This window comes from Homo sapiens, chromosome 10 (assembly GCF_000001405.40).
Source record: "Homo sapiens chromosome 10, GRCh38.p14 Primary Assembly".
Taxonomy (NCBI): domain Eukaryota; kingdom Metazoa; phylum Chordata; class Mammalia; order Primates; family Hominidae; genus Homo; species Homo sapiens.
In genome coordinates this window covers 19385397-19403692 of record NC_000010.11, presented here as the reverse complement: position 1 = coordinate 19403692, position 18296 = coordinate 19385397, and the positions used below count along the sequence as shown (strand labels likewise).

The following is an 18296-nucleotide window of genomic DNA, read 5'->3' as shown; positions in this document are numbered from 1 at the left end:
CTCATTAAAAATATGACCTGTAAAATCCTTAGGGCTCATGAATGCTGATGAAAAGAAAGCCATGAATTCACATAAAAATATTATTTTACCCTTCTTTTTAACCTTAAGTCTCTAAGTCACTTCAATTGCTAGCACTCAGAATAATGATCCCTCAGCTCATAAGTCTGAAAAACTAAGTCTGCTTTCTTGTCACCAACACGTTAGCATAAAAGAGGGCAAAGCAATGCTCAATGATTATATGTGGATATATTAAATGCCACATTGTGAATGGAAAATAAAATGTATCAGCATTTGTAACCTATAACAAAGTCCTCAATGAGTCATTCATGGAATTTTTAATGGCAAAACCCTAATACATATGGTCTAATTCATAAAGTAAATTCATAACCAGATGGTCTAATTTATAAAAATAATAGTAATTCATCCAAGTCCACTTTTATGGCTTCTATTTTTTATTCATGGAGGCATAATATTCACAATATGATGTAAGGGTTTTAAATCAGGACTACAAAACTAGACTTTTTTTTTGGAAAACATAAATTCTTTTTAGACTGCATAGATAATTCCATCATCAGCTTCCAATTTCCCCTAAATCTTCCACTTTGTAAATTATTATTATAGGTTCACATATTTTTCTCCTTGTTTATAGTTAAGCTTCTTTAAGCACTATAAATGTCTTATTTTTTTCTAACATTATATGAGTCTACAATGAGCCATTTATTACGGAGGACACAAAACTAAATTGTGCCTACATCTGACTTTCAAGGTAGTGGTAGTAAGTGACAAGACGCAGAAGGGAAAATATTCAATCTGGATCTAGGAAGATGTTCAGGATTTGGTTATGTCAAAATCTACATGTGTGTGTTTGGTGGGGGAAGGATGGAGGGAGACAAGCATTCCAAATGTAGAAAAAGATATGGATTTAACAAAGGCATGGATAAGAAAAAGGCACAAATAAGAGCATGGAAGACACATGTGTATTAATAATATGTGGTTACCCTGGCTTATTAAGAAAGATTTTAAGGGAATAACTATTTTATTTTATTCATTTTTTTGGAGATAGGGTATATTAGTCTGTTCTCATGCTGCTAATAAAGACATACCCAAGAGTGGGTAATTTATAAAGGAAAGAAGTTTAATTGACTCACAGTTCCACATGGCTGGGGAGGCCTCACAGTCATGGCTGAAGGTAAGTGAGGAGCAAAGTCATGTTTTACATGGTGGCAGGCAGGAGAGCTTGTGCTCCGATTTATAAAACCACTGGATCTCCTGAGAGTTACTCACTACCAAGAGAACAGTACAGGGGAAATCACCCCCGTGATTCAATGATCTCCACCTGGCCCCGTTATTGACACATGGGGATTATTACAATTCAAGGTGAGATTTGGGTGGGGAAACAGCCAAACCATATCATGGGGTCTTGCTACGTTGCCCATGATGGTCTCAATCTCTGGGACTCAAGTTTGGTGATTGTGTTAAGTTTGACAACTTGCTCTCTCAAAAGATAAAGAACGATGGCCTTCCCAGAAGAAAGAGCATTCTCAGAGACTGACAGGTGGGACTTGGAGAAAAAGTAGAGGGTATAACATGCATTGTTAAGAGGGGCCAATATTGCCCCCAAGGGGACAAAAATTGGTTTTGAGGGAGCAGAATTTTAGATATCACGTAGTTTTTGGCTTTCCAAAGCTCAGTGTTACATGTAAGTCTCATTCTTCAATATTTAATTATTCTTGTTGGGTTTATGTAAGTATCATGTTTTCTTAAGTATCAACATGAGTGGTATTAGAGTTCTTCAAAATTACATAAAAAGTACACAAGACAAATGCTACAAAATGTTGGCAAATAGATTGTTTTGATTAAATAACTCTCTTTTGATTGTTTGATCAATCTTAAAGTCGTATCACTAGAGGTGGCCAGTGTGTGCCTGTTGGCTGCCACTGACTGTTGTGTTAATGCTTTTTATGCTTTATTCTCTGTGATCTTGTGTGAACTTGAGCCACGAGAATTAAATTAAAAATTTATATTTTGTTAATTCTACAAAAGTTATTTTACCTATCCTTATGTCCATTGCTGCAAAGAAAATAATGTCAATGTCTGAATGAATATCTAGCAACTAAGTTGAAATTTGTTTTCTCATATCAAGAAAAAATTAAAAGTTAAGGTCATTCAAATAATATTTAAGGATTTCATTTTTCAATTGTTTTCCTTCTGCCATTCAAAAAGCAGTTTTGGATTAGTTTTCAATTCGATTACTTCCTATTATTTGTGTTTATACAAACTGCTAATTTCCATATATAATTTGGTACATAACATTTAATTTAAATACATTATGTTAGAAGTTACCCAAAAGAAATGATTACGAAGTTAAATTAAAGCTAAATATGTTAATAAGTCAGAAATAATTGAAAATTATAGAAACAATGAAAGCAGTGCTATGTTAAATAACACAAATAGAATCACAGTATCAGATATGCAAATGTATGACATAGACTGTAGAGGGTAGAATAAATGCTTATTTTTTATTGTCATTAATATCATATCCTTAATTACTATCCAATAATTGGTGAATTCAGGGGCCACTCAATACATCCCAGGCTTCTCTTCCTTTGTGTATTCTCTCATTTGAAATAATGTTCTCCTTTCTTTCTTCTTCTTCTTTTTTTATTTTTTTATTTCTGAGACATAGTCTCCCTCTGTCATCCAGGCTAGAGTGCAGTGGCACAATCTTGGCTCACTGCAACCTCCACCTTTTGGGTTCAAGCGATTCTCCTGCCTCAGCCTCCCGAGTAATTAGGATTACAGGAACGTGCCACCACGCCTGGCTAATTTTTGTATTTTTACTAGAGGTAGGGTTTCACCATATTGACCAGGCTGGTCTCAAACTTCTCACCTCAAGTGATCTGCCTGCCTTGGCCTCCAAAAGTGCTGGGATTATAGGCGTGAGCTACCACACCTGGCCTCTTTCTTCTATTTTTCCAAATTCTACTTGTCTTTCAAAATCCAATTTAATTTTTTTATTTCTTCTAAACACTTTCAGTCTATAAATATTTCAGTAGCTTTTTAATTCTTATAATATTGAATTATTCTGTAGAGTTGGCATTTATGTACTGCTTGTACATTCAATCTTTCATTCAATTAAAAAATATGTGTTTAATACCTACTATGTGCTAGGCACTAAGCTACTTGCTACAGACAGGACAGTAAACAAGGCAGATGAGGTCTGCGTCATGAAGCCTCCCTTGTCGCTGGAGAACAGAACTTTTCACATACTCAGTCATCATGCAGCATAGCAGTGCCAGGAGACAAAGACTTAATCATATGGGAACACACCGCCACTGAATTCAAACTCATTCCATGAACCTCAGAGAGGTTCCAGTGCCAAGAATGTAGCACATGAAGTTATAAACTACCTTTTCAGGAAAAGGACGACTTCAGAATGAGGAGAATTAAATATTGAAGGACATTCACTTTCTAATGAGAAGCTCTTACAACTTCTGATAGAAAGAATCCATGCCATACCGTTGCTTTTTGCCAGCAGTTAAGCCCACTTTAAACTCACAAGCTCCATGATAGTAGACAGTGTATTAAGGAAAAGCTCACTAAATATATGTTTAAATCGCAATGAATGAAAGCAAGGGTGAAAAGAATTGGGAAGGAGCTGGAAACTCAGTATTTGCAGAAGAAAGTTGTAATCCTAAATTAAAGGAATTGTTAGTTAGAAATAGTCTAAGTTGGGCATAGTATATCCCAAACTGCTCAGTTTTTTTTGTTTATATCTTTCACATAATACTATCCACAGTGGGAGAACAGTAGCAGAATTTACCAAGGAGCTTTATTGTCACAACAGATTATCAGAAAATATTCCTGACTTCTTTAGAAGATGTAAAGAAATACACTAATCTAGAAAATGTAAGTCTAAATATTTCTTTATTTGTTAAAAAAAGTTTAAAACATTTATTTTAATTAAAATTCCCTCAAAGATTACAAATGGTATTGTTTTGTATATTCATTTCTTACAGAGATAAGATATCTAAGATTATTGCCATTTTAATTGCTTATTTTATCAATGCATACAAGAGTGAATCACAAGGGTTTTCTCTCTACTCCAACTCTGTAATCTGTAATTGGTAAAAACGGACTGCCAAACTTATAGCAGCATCCGAGTCAGAAATGTGATTCAGTTAGAACAATCAGCCCACTGATAAGCAATTCTACCCTACTTTGGTTGGAGCATGTATTGCAAACTCCACAGAAAATGAAGAGTATGCATTAAAAATTAATTAAGAACTTAAACGAGTTCTACAAACAGTTACTATCATGTGCTGAAAACTGTTACAATTTTTCAAGCAATGCCCTAGAAAAATGAGAAGAGTAAAAAAGAAATGTTTCACCATGAAAAATGTCTTTGAAATAATCAAAATTCAAATATTTTCAGTAAATAAGCAGAAGTTAAATTGAAATTTACTGGCTCTCAGGATTCCTACACAGACTAGTTGTGTGCACAGCAGTTGAACCTACAAAATTTCCGTGGGCAAATGGACAGCAACCATGTGAAGCCACACTTTAAACTAGACAAGCCACAATATTGCTTTTATTCTCTTCCTTCTCTCAGATCTTATAATACCTAAGATGACAATGTCTATGACTACTTATGACATTTGAAGAGACACTCTTGAGTCTGGGTGACAAATCTCTCACTATATTAATTCACGAGCAGCCAGTATGGAAGTTGCTGACTCTACCTGGCTGCAGGCCTGATGTCTAGTTGGCTGAAATAGCTCTTTGCTGTGGCAGCATTTAAACCTATTTATACTTAGTCTGCTCTAAACTTGTCTCAGATAGAATGCTATCTTCAGTGACTTAATGTATCTCAAATTTTAGAAACTGGAATTGCTTTTTTATATAAGAAATTCCTGTGCAGACAAGGCACACTAATATTTCTTAATAAATAATGTAAACATTGAGCACATAAGATAGATGTCCTCATAAAATTAAAAATTCTTCAGCCTCCTTATAAATAGAATATTAATTTTCAAGAGAGTTATAACATGGATGGAGGAAATACATCTTTATTTTCACAAACTTCAACTAAAGTTCTGGTATTTTCTTCAAATTGTGAATACAGGCAACAGATCACAGGTATTAGTAGTACCTGTGACTTCCTCACCAATAGTAATGGTAGATATTTTAATATCCCATTATAATACTTTGGCTGTCTCAAAAGTATCATTTATGTTCATCACGCCTTTAAAATAATGGTAGTTACTTCATCCTCCATAAGTCTTCTTGTTTAACATATATTTTTCAAAGTCACTATTACAGATTTTTAAAAATATTTTAATAATTGGTATTAATTTGTTTCTAATTCATTCTTTCCTAACCAACATTAAATGCAGCTATTGCTATAAAACTACCAGAAGAAAATATTGAAGAAATGCTTCATGACATCAGAATGCACAAGGATTTTTTTGGATAAGACCTCAAATTCACAGACAACAAAAGCAAAAATAGACAAATGAGATTGCACCAAACTATAAAGCTTCTGCACAGCAAAGGAAACAATCAACAGAATGAAGAGACAATCTACAGAATGGTATAAAATATTTGCAAACTCTACATCTGACAAAGGGATAATATCCAGAATATATAAGGAACTCAAAAAATTCAATAGTCAAAAAAGCAAATAATCTGATTAGACAATGGGAAAAAGACCTTAATATACATGAGTCTTAAATGAGAGCATATACATGGCCAAGAGATATATGAAAAAAAAAAATGCTCGGCATCACTAATCATCAGGGAAATACAAATCAAAACCATGATGGATATCACCTCATGCCTGTTAGAATGGCTATTATCAAAAAGACAAAAGATAAAGAAGTGTTAGCAACGTTGTGGAACTAGGATAAGACCTCAAATTCACAGACAACAAAAGCAAAAATAGTATAACAAGTGTTATACACCCAGTAACACTGTCCCCTTGCAGACTGTTAGTGGGATTATAAATTAGTACAGCCATTATGAAAACAGTATGTCGGTTCCTCAAAAAAAAATTTAAACAGAGCTACCGTATAATCTACCAAATCCACTACTGGGTATATATTCAAAGGAAATGAAATCAATAGGTTGAGATATCTGTCCTCTCATGTTTATTGTAGCACTATTCACAATAGCCAAGATATGCAATCAACTTAAGTGTCCAAAAATGAATAAATGGATAAAGAAAATGGGGTCTATATACACAATGGAATATTACTCATCCATTAAAAAAATGAAATCCTGTTATTTGCAATAACATTGATAAGGCTGGAGGAAATTATGTTAAGTGAAATATACCAGGTACAGAAAGACACCTCATGATCTCATTCATATGCAGGACCTAAAAACATGTATCTCATAGAAGCAGGGAGTAGAACAGTAGTTACTAGAGAATGTGGAGGGGACAGGGGAGGTGAAGATAGGGAGAGATTGGTGGAGTATGAAGTTACAGTTAGTAGGAATAAGTCCTGGTGTTTCTTTGCACAGTGAGGTGAATATAATTAAAAATAATATGTATTTCAAAATAGCTAGCAGAGAGGATTTTCACTGATCTTACCACAAAGAAATGACAGATATTTGAGGTTATAGATGAGCTAATTACCCTGATTTGATCATTACACAATGTATACATGTATCAAAACATCACATTGTACCCCACAAATATGTGGAATTATTATGTCAGTTAAAAATAATTTAAAAAATAAAATGCAGCTATATTAAGCATGATTTTAAAATGTCTGAGTTATATTAAATACGATAAGGAATAATTTAGATAAATGCAGTAACTGTTACTAGATGCTGGCAAGCTAAGTTAGAAAAACAAAACTGCTGAAGTTGATGAACACAAAGTAGTCACCTCTCCTCTGTAACATGTGTGGAATACATCTATAGATTTATTAATATGTAGAGATGGAAATTTCTGATTTTTATGACTTCAGAGACACTGGAAAACTTTGAGGGACAATAACCTCTCTGACTCCTGAGTATTAGAATATTTTAAATTCTAATAGCAGAAGTTGAGTATAGTGGTTAAGAGTATGAATATAGAAGCTAGAATTGTTTTTTAATCCTGATTATTCAACATAATTTTTATGTGACATGGGTCTTCATTTTGTGGTCTGTAAAATTAGAAAACAAAGTATCTTCCTTGCCATCTTATTTTGAAGATTAAATGGATTCATATAGTTGGAAGACTTAGCACATGACATAGAAATAAACGAGGCCAGCACAGTGGCTCATGAATGTAATCCAGCTCTTTGGAAGGCCGAGACAGGAGAATCACGAGGCCAGGAGTTCAACACCAGCCTGAGCAACATGGTGAAACCCCCGTCTTTACTAAAAATACAAAAATTAGCCAGGCGTGGTGGCGTGCACCTGTGTTCCCAGCTACCCAGGAGGCTGAGGCAGGAGAATCGCTTGAACCAGGAGGTGGAGGTTGCAGTGAGCTGAGATTGCATCACTGCACCTCAGCCAGGGTGACAGAACGAGACTCCATCAAAAAAAAAAAAAAAAGAAAAAAAAAAAGAAACGAAGGAATGAATGAATGAATTAGTTAATATTTGGACTGGACACAAGAGTAGCAGTGCTAGTGGGAGTAGAAACAGAAATAGAATGGCAACAATAATAGTGATAATGTCATTCTTTAGAGCCGACTATATGCTTCTCTGTAAAGCAAAAACTCCTGGGCTCCTGGGATAAATTAAACTAAGGTGTTAGCATCCTAACGGAAATCTTTTCTTCAAGACAGAAGAGATTCCAGTGGAACTAGCTTAGTAGGACTCCTACTTGGAAATAGTAGAGACACTGAAAGAGGTAAAGAACATGGGAACAGAAGAAGTTTAAAAGAAAAATCTCACATATTCAAAAATATGCCTGGAATAATTATTGCCATGTTCTCCAAGATGATATAAAGAAATATTTATTTTATATAACTAGAGCATTGTGATGTTGTCGCAACTAACTGAATTAAACTCTGGGTGTGTTGATATCTTGTGTGGTTACACCTTTGTGAAAAGAAAATAAATCTTGGGGCCCCAGAATCACTTAGCTAAAGGGAAAAGTCAAGCTGGGAACTGCTTAGGGAAAACCTGCCTCCCATTCTATCCAGTCATCCCTTTGCTCACTGAGATACATGCATAACTGATTGCCTCCCTTGGAAAGGCTAATCAGAAACTCAAAGGAATGCAACCATTTGTCTCTTATCTACGTATGACCTGGAAGCCCTCTCCCCAGTTCGAGTAGTTCCCCCTTTGCTTCAAGTTGTCCCACCTTTCTGGAACAAACCAATGTTTATCTTACATATGTTGATTGATGTCTCATGTCTACCTAAAAATGTATAAAACCAAGCTGTGCTCGGACCACCTTGGGCACATGTCATCACGACCTCTGGAGGCTGTGTCATGGGCACACGTCCTTAACTCTGGGAAAATAAACTTCCTAAATTGACTGAGATCTGTCTCAGATATTTGGTGGTTCACAACTTGAAATGAAAGGATCAACTTTTCTTCAATTATTTGGCCAAGTACACTAGTACAATATAACAAAACTATGCAGATTACACTGCTAAGATACTGAAACGATTCTGAAAAAGCACTAAAAATGTGGTTTAATTGATTTACATTCCAAAATCCACATGATAGTCTTGGAGAAGTCAAATTCCCTATCTAGATTCTATGAATCACCTATATTATCTATACTCTTTTTCTGAAATAATGAATAAAATGCAAACAGTATACTCAAAATAACATTAGATATTCAGTAGCTTGTCAATATCAAAATAAACCTAACTTTGAAAACCTGTCTGATTACTACTCTAGTATAAGCAATTACAGGATGAGTATCCCTAACCCCGCAATCCAAAATCTGAAATGCTCTAAAATCCAAAACTTTTAGAAGGTCGACATGATGCTCAAAGCAAAGGCTCACTGGAACATTTCAAATTTTGGATTTTTGGATAAGGAATACTCAATCTGTGTTGTAAATCTTTTCAGATTATGGCAGTGGTGAATATGCGTGCAGAGGATGGGGTGGAGGTGGGTTTGGATGGATGCAGAGAGCTTACCATGAATTCAGTTGACCCTTGTCTACAACCAAGGCTCATTGCTCCCTAGACTCAAGTTAAAAGTGGACCCAGAATGACCACAGTCTTTTACGTAATCAAAGGAAGCTAGCTTCTTTTTATCTGACATTTTCCACAGCCTCTTGAACAAAATATTTATTTCCCTATTACATAGCAAAATTGTTAGATAAAATTTCTAGGAAGACATGTAGAAGAGCCTTAAGTTAGAATTCAGAAAAACTGAATTCATATCCTGACTTTTTTCTTAAAATACCATGTGAGCTGAGGCAAGAAATATAACCTCTTACTCTTACTTCCTTCATCTGTAAAATGAATAGCTGAGAGTAAGACCCCACCAACTCTAAAGTTATCTGAACCACTAAGCAAGATAAAGCAATGAACTAATTTAATTGTGGTCTTTCAGCATAACTAGGTTGCTATATCAGGAGGGCTCTCCTGAAACACATTATTTTTCTCCACTTCTGGCTTGAATACATTATGTTTTCTATCATGACTGCATAATGGATAGTCCTGAACACCTTCAATTAAATATATTCAAATTCCCTAAAGCATGCAGTAATCTTGATTAAAACATCAACAGTTTATTACAGATGGAAGAGTTCCAAAAGAAGATAATGCTCTTCAGGTAGCAGGTGTTCCTGCATTTTATTCAAAAGGCTGGTTGAAAAGATGCAAAGGTCTTTTGTTTCTTGTAGAGGCTAGACAGATTTTACCCAATGAAAACAAATTGTGGAAAACAAAGTCCATTTCAAAATTTCCCTGAAATTACTTTTAGTGTATTCATGTATACATATTACTCATCATTAATTAACCCCATCAGGGCCGGGCGCGGTGGCTCACGCCTGTAATCCAGCACTTTGGGAGGCCAAGGTGGGCAGATCACGAGGTCAGGCGATGGAGACCATCCTGGCTAACATGGTGAAACTCTGTCTCTACTAAAAATACAAAAAAAAAAAAAAAAATTAGCCAGGCGTGGTGGCCGGCGCCTGTAGTCCCAGCTACTTGGGAGGCTGAGGCAGGAGAATGGCATGAACCCGGGAGACGGAGCTTGCAGTGAGCCGAGATCACACCACTGCACTCCAGCCTGGGTGACAGAGCGAGACTCGGTCTCAAAAAAAAAAAAAAAAAAAAATTAACCTCATCAGGAAACAAGTGACTAGAAAATAGGTAAAATAGTGGGAGTAAAATTTGTGAAAAAAGTTAATTTCATGTTGTAAAACCCATTTTCTACTCTTGAGTACTTGTTTTATTTTTTGTTTTAAATCTTAGGTGGTCTGGAAGGTAATGCATTTAAATTTAATGAGAAATTTAATACTGAATATAAATCAGTTAAAAATGAAAAATGAGAAATATTAGCAAAAATAAGGATGCCATTTTAAAAATGAACTATTATAAAATTCAGAAAAAGATAGGGCCCAGTTATTTTAACTTAGATTAACAGCCAAACCTACTCCTTAGAAAGACATACACCCAACCAATTATGCAGACTTTCTAAACTTAATTTCAGAATACCTGAGTTCAAGTCATAGTCAATCCACTTACTGGTGACCTTGAGTTTATAACTTAGCTCATCTGAGCCTCTCTTGACTCACTCATAAAATGAAGGAGTGGAGTAACAGAGATTCTCATTGCTTCCCACAGGCTGAATCTCATGCACACAGTGTTTGGCTTGGTTGAAGCAGAGAGTGAGAGCCAATCATCCTACCTAGTAAACCCTCTGATCGCATACCAAACAAACTGTATTTAAAAAATTGTTATTCGTTCAAAAAACTTTAACTACATCCTTTTAAAGGTTATTTTTTCTCATTTATAACTAAAGCAAACTTCAAGAAAATGAAAAAATTAACATCAATTTCTCAATTTTTTTGATCCTCTTATTATTCACCCATTGCTTGACTGAAGACACAAAACTTACATTTGTTTCAGTTACATCTCTCTAATGAAAAGCAATTCTCATGTAACCAAAGGCAAAAAATACAGAAATAGGTAATATGGTACTGCTCTTTACCAAATGTTCTCAAAAGCAATAGCTTTGCTTTGTTGAGGTTTCTCTGAATTTACTTTTTTATTACAGGAGTCATTTAAGAATCATATATGGCCATTCTAAGAACCATGATTCATTTTGTTTTTTTCTAAAAAATATTCTATGCAATGTGTATAGATCTCGATAAAGGGGGATCTTCATTTCAATATTAAAGTCAGTGTGGAACACTTGGGGCTCAGGGTTGGGAGTAAACAAATGAGTTTTGGACCCAGACATACTTGGATTCAGGTTCCCACTCTGTCACTGACTGGGTATTTAGCTATAGGGTGGTAAAGTTATTTCTGTGACTCCTCTACCCCTTTAGTAAAATAAGGCTCCCATTATTTAACTCAGAGGGGTGTGTTAAGAATTCCATGAAATAATATAAGTGATGGTGTTCTATAAATGACATATTTATGGATGCATTGTTGTAGCGATCTATAATCAGTATTACCCCATATAAATGAGGCTACCAATTAATTATTGTTCAATGGCACATGCTTTTAAATCCGATTCCATGTATATGTTTCTGATTTAGATGACAGATGCTTCTTCAGGCTAGACTTGAACGTCATGCATGTAATGCACAATGGCCATCCCTTCGCAAGGGTTGTCCTAAATAAGGGTTGGCTCCAGCCCAGCCACAACCTCTGGGAGGCCACCACTTTTTTGCTTCATCCAGCAGTCCCTTTTCTGAAGATCTGAGAGTGACACTTGAAGCCTAAAACTTCAGTGCCTTGCTCTCAAGACTTTACAATCAGTTGGTTGAACTAGAATAATTTCTAATGAACAGCCAGTTAGCAGGAATCTTTCTGGAACTGCAAGACACTCAGAAAAGGAATCATTGTGGGAGGCTAGGCAAATGTGGCCAAGGAAAGTTCTGCAAAAGGTCGAGTCTTCCCGATTGGGTGCGACTCGGTGTGGAGGGAAAAGCCAGAAAACACAGAAGGGGGCCTAACTAAGAATAGACAGGGAGTGCCAAGCCAGAGGGAGCGAATGTGTATACTGGAACATCTTAAAAGACGAAGAGTAAAGAAAGAATTTGGAGGCAGAATCCTTGCCTTTATTGGGCTTACCATCTAGCTAGGATGCTTTCAAGCTAATGAGCAAGGTAAAATCTAGCATGATTCCACATGGAGACAGCCAAATAACTACTCTGTAAGGCTGGTTGAAAATACATATCTTATTAATCACCAAGATGAAATGATTGCCCTAATATTCATGAATATAGAATCCAAATATATTATGAGAGATTTCTTCACAATCAACGTGACTAAGTACAGGCATATACTTTTTAAGTGTGTGTGTGTGTATGTTTGTGTGTGTGCACAGTAGGAAGACAGGCTTTTTAAAATGCTGTTAAATTTCCCTAAGAATCAATTAGAGGAACCACAGGAATTCTATGCCATTGGTAGGAAGACTAATATCGCAAAATGGTTTAGTATTACACTTTCTAGAAATAAAAAGTTTGTTACTGTAACATAATTGAAATGTAAATACGACTGAAGCAAATAATCAAAGCAAACCCCAGAGAACAGTACAAAATCTCTAACATGGTGCACACCATAGAATCAAGTATCACATTTCAAGGGTGTTGGTGAAGTCCTCTTATGAGAACTTTAAGTGCTATATTTTTGTAAGTTTCCATCTTTAAATATAAGAATGATTTGCTGTGGTTCTTGCAACATGTATTTTATTAGGCAGAGTTTTCTGCATCATTATAGAAGAGTTCTAAGTTATAAAGTCAATTCTGGTTTCCAATAAAACATAGACTCTGCAGACATAAGCTGTTCATAGGTATAAGCTCTTTGGTATTCAGCTCAGGCATTTTCTATCAGTGCCAGGGCACTTAACCAAAGCTCATGTGTCATTAAAAAAAAAAGCAATGGTCTCCACAGCATGCTTTAAAGTAAGCTTTCTTGGAATTCTACCTAGATTCTTCAAATAAATACACACATACCTGCACGTGCACATATACATCTCCTTTCGGCTACTGTTTTAACTCAGTAAAGAGTAAAGGTGTTTGACCAAGTCTCATTAATATTAATATTTACTATGTTATTTTGTTCCCTGAACACTGTCACTTTGTTATACTAAATTAAAGCTCTGACAGAAACATCCAATTAATCCTTACTAAGAAAATGCATTACTGTGTCAGTTAATAAGCAGTTTCATGTAATCATACCTTGATGATTCTCCTGAGTAGTTCAGTCCTTTGCACAGTGTGCTTAGAACCAGAATGTCTATTATTACTTCCCTTAATGATTGCTCATCTGTGAGGAAAAATGGATAGCCGGTCTTCTTTCAGATGCACAAATAATTTATTTTCTTTTATTGGAAAGGAAAGGGAAGGAAACAACTAAATAGGAAGAAGAAATGTATGTGTCCTAGATTAATTACTATTATATAATGAGTCTCTGGGATTCAGTCATAATCACAGGATATGATGTTGAACTCAAAGCTGGTTCTCATGTCTCAGCTTACCAAACCCCATAGATCATTTCAGCCACAGGAGATGGCACCTTTGAAAAACAGGGGGCCTTCTCTAGCCAAGTCAACTCCCTCAGGCCACATGCCACCTATAGAGAGGGGCCAGGTGTGGTGGCTCATGCATGTAGTCCCAGCACTTTGAGAGGTTGAAGTGGGAGGATTGCTTGAGCCCAGGAATTTGAGATAAGCCTGGGCAACAAAGAATATAAAATCTCTACAAAAAATATAAAATTATTCTCTACAAAGAATATAAAATTAGCCAGGCATGATGGTGCATGCCTGTAGTCCCAGTTATTCGGGAGGCAGAGGCAGGAGGATCGCTTGAGTCCAGGAGTTGGAGGCTGCAGTAAGCCATGACTGCACCACTGCACTGCAGCCTGAGTGACAGAGCAAGACCCTGTCTCTAAAACAGAACAAAACAAGCTCAGAGGCATCACAGGCCATGTTCCTACCTTGATGAGAATCTGAATGGATCCTGTGGCCTTTGCAGATACGAAATACCAGAAGCTCATGGTGCAGGCTGCACTGGATTCTCGCCACATGGTACTCCTGAAGTGTGCTTTGTCACCCCGAAGGCCCACTGCAGTAGCTTCCAGATACATGAAGTGCCCTAGGAACAAGGACAGAATTCAGAGAAGAACGAAATAACAATGATGGGATTATTTTTGCATTTCCATCATAGTTAGGGTCTTTAATTACAATTCGTATGATCTGAGCTGCCAAAAGTATTTTCATTTGGAACAGAAAGAAAATCTAATAGCCTCGCCTCTAGCTTGCTGACAGAACAATTTCCAACTGTCTGTGCTTTTAGCACGTGCTTCACAGTATGCAGATTAACTGATCTGATGGGATATTTATGCCGTCGCATCAACAAGATAGCTACAAAAATTATTTTATAGATTTCCCAAACTACCAAGTGATTGTAAAATAATGTAAAGACTACCAATGAAATCTAAAAAAAAGAGTGATATGGTCTGCTTTTAAAAATTTAGTCATCTCTTGAGTGTGTAAATATAACACTAAGAAATTTAGTAAGTAACATGGGAAGAAAGGTATTCAGTTTTGTTCTTGCACATTGACATATCCATAACATTTCATGTATGTAGAGCTGAGTGTTTGAATGAGACTTTTGTCTTGCTTTCCCTGCCTTGGTCAGTTTTTCTTTTTTTTTTTTTTTTTTCAGTAGACCTATGGAATTTCAATATTTAGACTTCTTTGCCTATGACGTAGCATCCAGGGATTCAGGGTCACTTCTTCATTCTGCTACTGCCCTTTATTCCTTCACCAAGGAAAAAAGTTCCTTCACCAAGGAATAAAGTAACAAGCTTTATTCTGCTACTGTCCTTTATTCCTTCATCAAGTCTCAGCCACTCACTACAAAAATGAGCCATGCCCAACACCCTTAACATATGTGGCTTTAAAGTTAAATTTTCATGGCATCTCTATAGGTTTCAAACTCTTTTCTCTTCATATACATCATCTCCACAATCTCTGTGAGGCACACAGGTCAAATTTTATCATCTCAAAATGACAGATGAGGAATTTGAAAATCTGAAATTTAAATGACTTGCTAATGATCACATGAGTGGCAGAATTCAGGGTTATTGATTACAAGTGTGTACCATTTAGGAAAGATGTCTGATGGCAGCATACATTATCATCTAACTTCAATTGCTGAATTAATGATTAATATTGGATTTTGGCTAAAAACTGTTATGGTTTGAATTGTGTTTTCTCCTTCCCAAAAATATGCCAGAGTTCTAACCCCAGTTCTTATGAATGTGACCTTATTTGGAAATAGGGTTTTTGCTGATGATCAGGTTAAAATGAGGCTGTTAGGATGGACACTAATCCAATATGACTGGGTCCTAATGAAACAGGGAATATGGGCCTAAAAACAGACATGCTTACAGAGAAGATGATGTGAAGAATTAGGGAAAACCACCATACACAAGCCAAGGAACTAATGAAACTACCAGAATCTAAGAGGGGACATGGAAGAGATCATGCTCCCTCACAACCCTCAGAAGGAATCACCATTGCCAATATCTTGATCTTGAACTTCCAGCATGCAGAATTTGAGAAATAAATGTCTGTTGTCTAAGTCATCCACTCTGTGGCCCTTTCTTACAGCAGCCCTAAGAAAAAAAACACTCACTAAATGTTTGATCGCCTTGCAATACCATCGTGGTGGTCTCTTCAGAGCTCCCCAGTTGCTATCAGAAAAGACATTTTGATGTACATTGTGAAAATCATGTGAAAGCAATTACAACAATCTAATAACCTACCATTTTCATTTCCAAGTGTGTGGTCTTTGGGAGGTCTTAAGCTTTGATGAGAGCCAACCCCTAAAACCCAATCAAAGTTGTCAGCCTGGGAGTTTTGCCAGCCACACCAGCCTTTTTCAAAAGTACAGGAGCTACCACACTCATTTTCATCAGTATTATCTCCACAGTTATCTACGAAGTTACAGCTTTGTTCCAGCCTATAGCATTTTCCATTATGACATTCCCTATAGCCAAGTGGGCAGAAACCTAAAACAAAACAAAAGAAAACAAGAATGAGCGAACACTCCTAACACATTCAGTGAGGTCAAAAAGCAGTAAGAGTGGATTCATTTTAATCTATAAAGGAACATATTGTTCTTAGGAATTTGAGGTACCTGAACCCCATCTCTCTCTCTCCCACTCTGCTCCAGAGCTCTAACCTATAGAGGCTTATTCATGACTATGATTATTCACAAATGCTAAAAAAAAAAAAAAAGCATCACTTTATTGATCTAGGAAAGTACCCCTCCATCTCCCCAAATGCAACATTCCTTGTAAACTGTGTTCAAGGATGTAAATTATATCTGAGAGCCAATGTGAGGCCTTCTATTTTTTCATCCTGAAACAAAATCTTTAAGCAGCTAAGAGATCATGTATTATGTGGCATTTGGAAATACATTCCATTAGCATCCGTCCACTCTAATATTTTTCAGAAGCCACGATATGTAAGATACCTCCTTAGAAGCACGGCTATGCATATATAACTAATAACTGACACTACAACAGATTTTTCTCTAAAATGCATATTTATTTGTCTATAATTTGGACTTTTAGAAGCAATTTTTCTGCAATGCAATGCCAACCATAGAGATTTGTTTACAAAACATGAGAAAAAGCAATGCTTTTGAAGACCTGAGTTTGACCTCTAGTGCTAATATTTATTAGTAACATGACTTGGATCATACCAACATTTGATACATTTTAGTTTCCTTAGCTCAAAAGAGAAAAAAAGAGCAAAATCCTAGAGAAGTTAAGCTAATTTAAAAGAGTATTGTGTGTGTGTGTGTGTGTGTATATGTATATGTATTTGTGTGTGTATATATATCTATCTCACCAGTGCCTACAACAGTGCCTGGTCCTTACTATGTGATTAGTAAATATTAGTCAAATACATGAATGAGGGAAATAAAGTGCTTTGGAATGAGGTTATTTAGAATGTATATTGAAGGCATAATTATTATACTACTCCAATATTACAACAGAATTTAACTGTCATGGGTAACAATATTTCAATAGAAAAAGTTGTTTAGAAATCCAGCTTGGGATATCAGCTTCACATTTTTTTCTCTGACACTACAGGATCTGACATTTTTTTTTTCTTGTCTTCTCCTTCTTCCAGGTAGAGGAGCTGATAACATCACTCCTTGCTTTACTTCAAAGGTGGTAGCCCCACCCTGCCACATGAACCTCTGGAGGCAAGTTACCTGGTAGATGAGGGTTGATGTGGGTCAGAGGTAGGGGATGAAGTTCAGGTATTTATTATAAGGTTTTCTGGGAGCTGGAAACGGCTGGTGATACAACCTCATATAGAAGCTTGTACCTCCTGGATAAGTCTCACATTTTAGACAATAGATGGTCAAGAGGGAAGAGAGTAGAAGATGAAGATGAATGGAATGCCACATTGAAGCCACTGGAGAGGAAACGTATTATGAAGGCTTCTGGCAATTTTGAGTGTTATGCTGTTCCTGAACTGTTTGAGGTTGCCTAATTAGGTGGACTTTGTATTATGAAGCCATTGAAAATAAGCTTCAACCATGGACTCTGTCTATGACAAAATTTTTTTGGTTAATTATTAATATTTTATGAAATGAAAACACAACAGAGCAAAACTTGTGAGATGCAGCAAAAGCAGTACTAACAGGGAAGTGTATAGTGATAAATACCTACGTTAAAAAAGAAAGATCTTAAATAAACATCCTAACTTTATTTGACAGAAAACTAGAAGAAAAAGAACTAAGGCCGAAGTTAGCAGAACAAAAATAATTATAAAGATTAGAACATAAATAAATAATATAGAGAATAAACCATAGAGAATGTCAATAAAATACATGGTTCATTTTTTGAAAAGATAAAACTGACAGACACTTAGCTAGATGAACAAAGAATAAAGAAGACTCAGATAAATAAACTTAGAAATTAAAGGAGGAGTTAATACAACTGATTCCATAGACACATAAAGGATCATTGAGACTTCTATGAACAATTATACACCAAGAATTGAATAACTTGGATAAATGGATACATTCCTAGAAATTCCTACAGCCTACTAAGACTGAATCATAAGAAACAGAAAATCTGAACAGATCAATAATGAGTAATGAGATTGAAGTGGTAACAA

At 35.9% G+C, this 18296-nt stretch overlaps 1 protein-coding gene across 10 annotated transcripts in view; it reads right to left on the bottom strand.

The window, feature by feature from the left end:
- MALRD1 (MAM and LDL receptor class A domain containing 1) overlaps positions 1 to 18296 on the bottom strand; it is a 687552-nt gene that overhangs the window by 330786 nt on the left and 338470 nt on the right. For all 10 annotated transcript variants that reach the window (XM_011519453.3, XM_011519455.3, XM_011519454.2 and 7 more), the window contains 2 exons: positions 15920 to 16165; positions 14084 to 14241 (listed from right to left, as the gene is read on the bottom strand). In XM_011519453.3, the coding sequence (XP_011517755.1) occupies positions 14084 to 14241; positions 15920 to 16165 (404 nt within the window). The remainder of the gene's footprint in view (positions 1 to 14083; positions 14242 to 15919; positions 16166 to 18296) is intronic.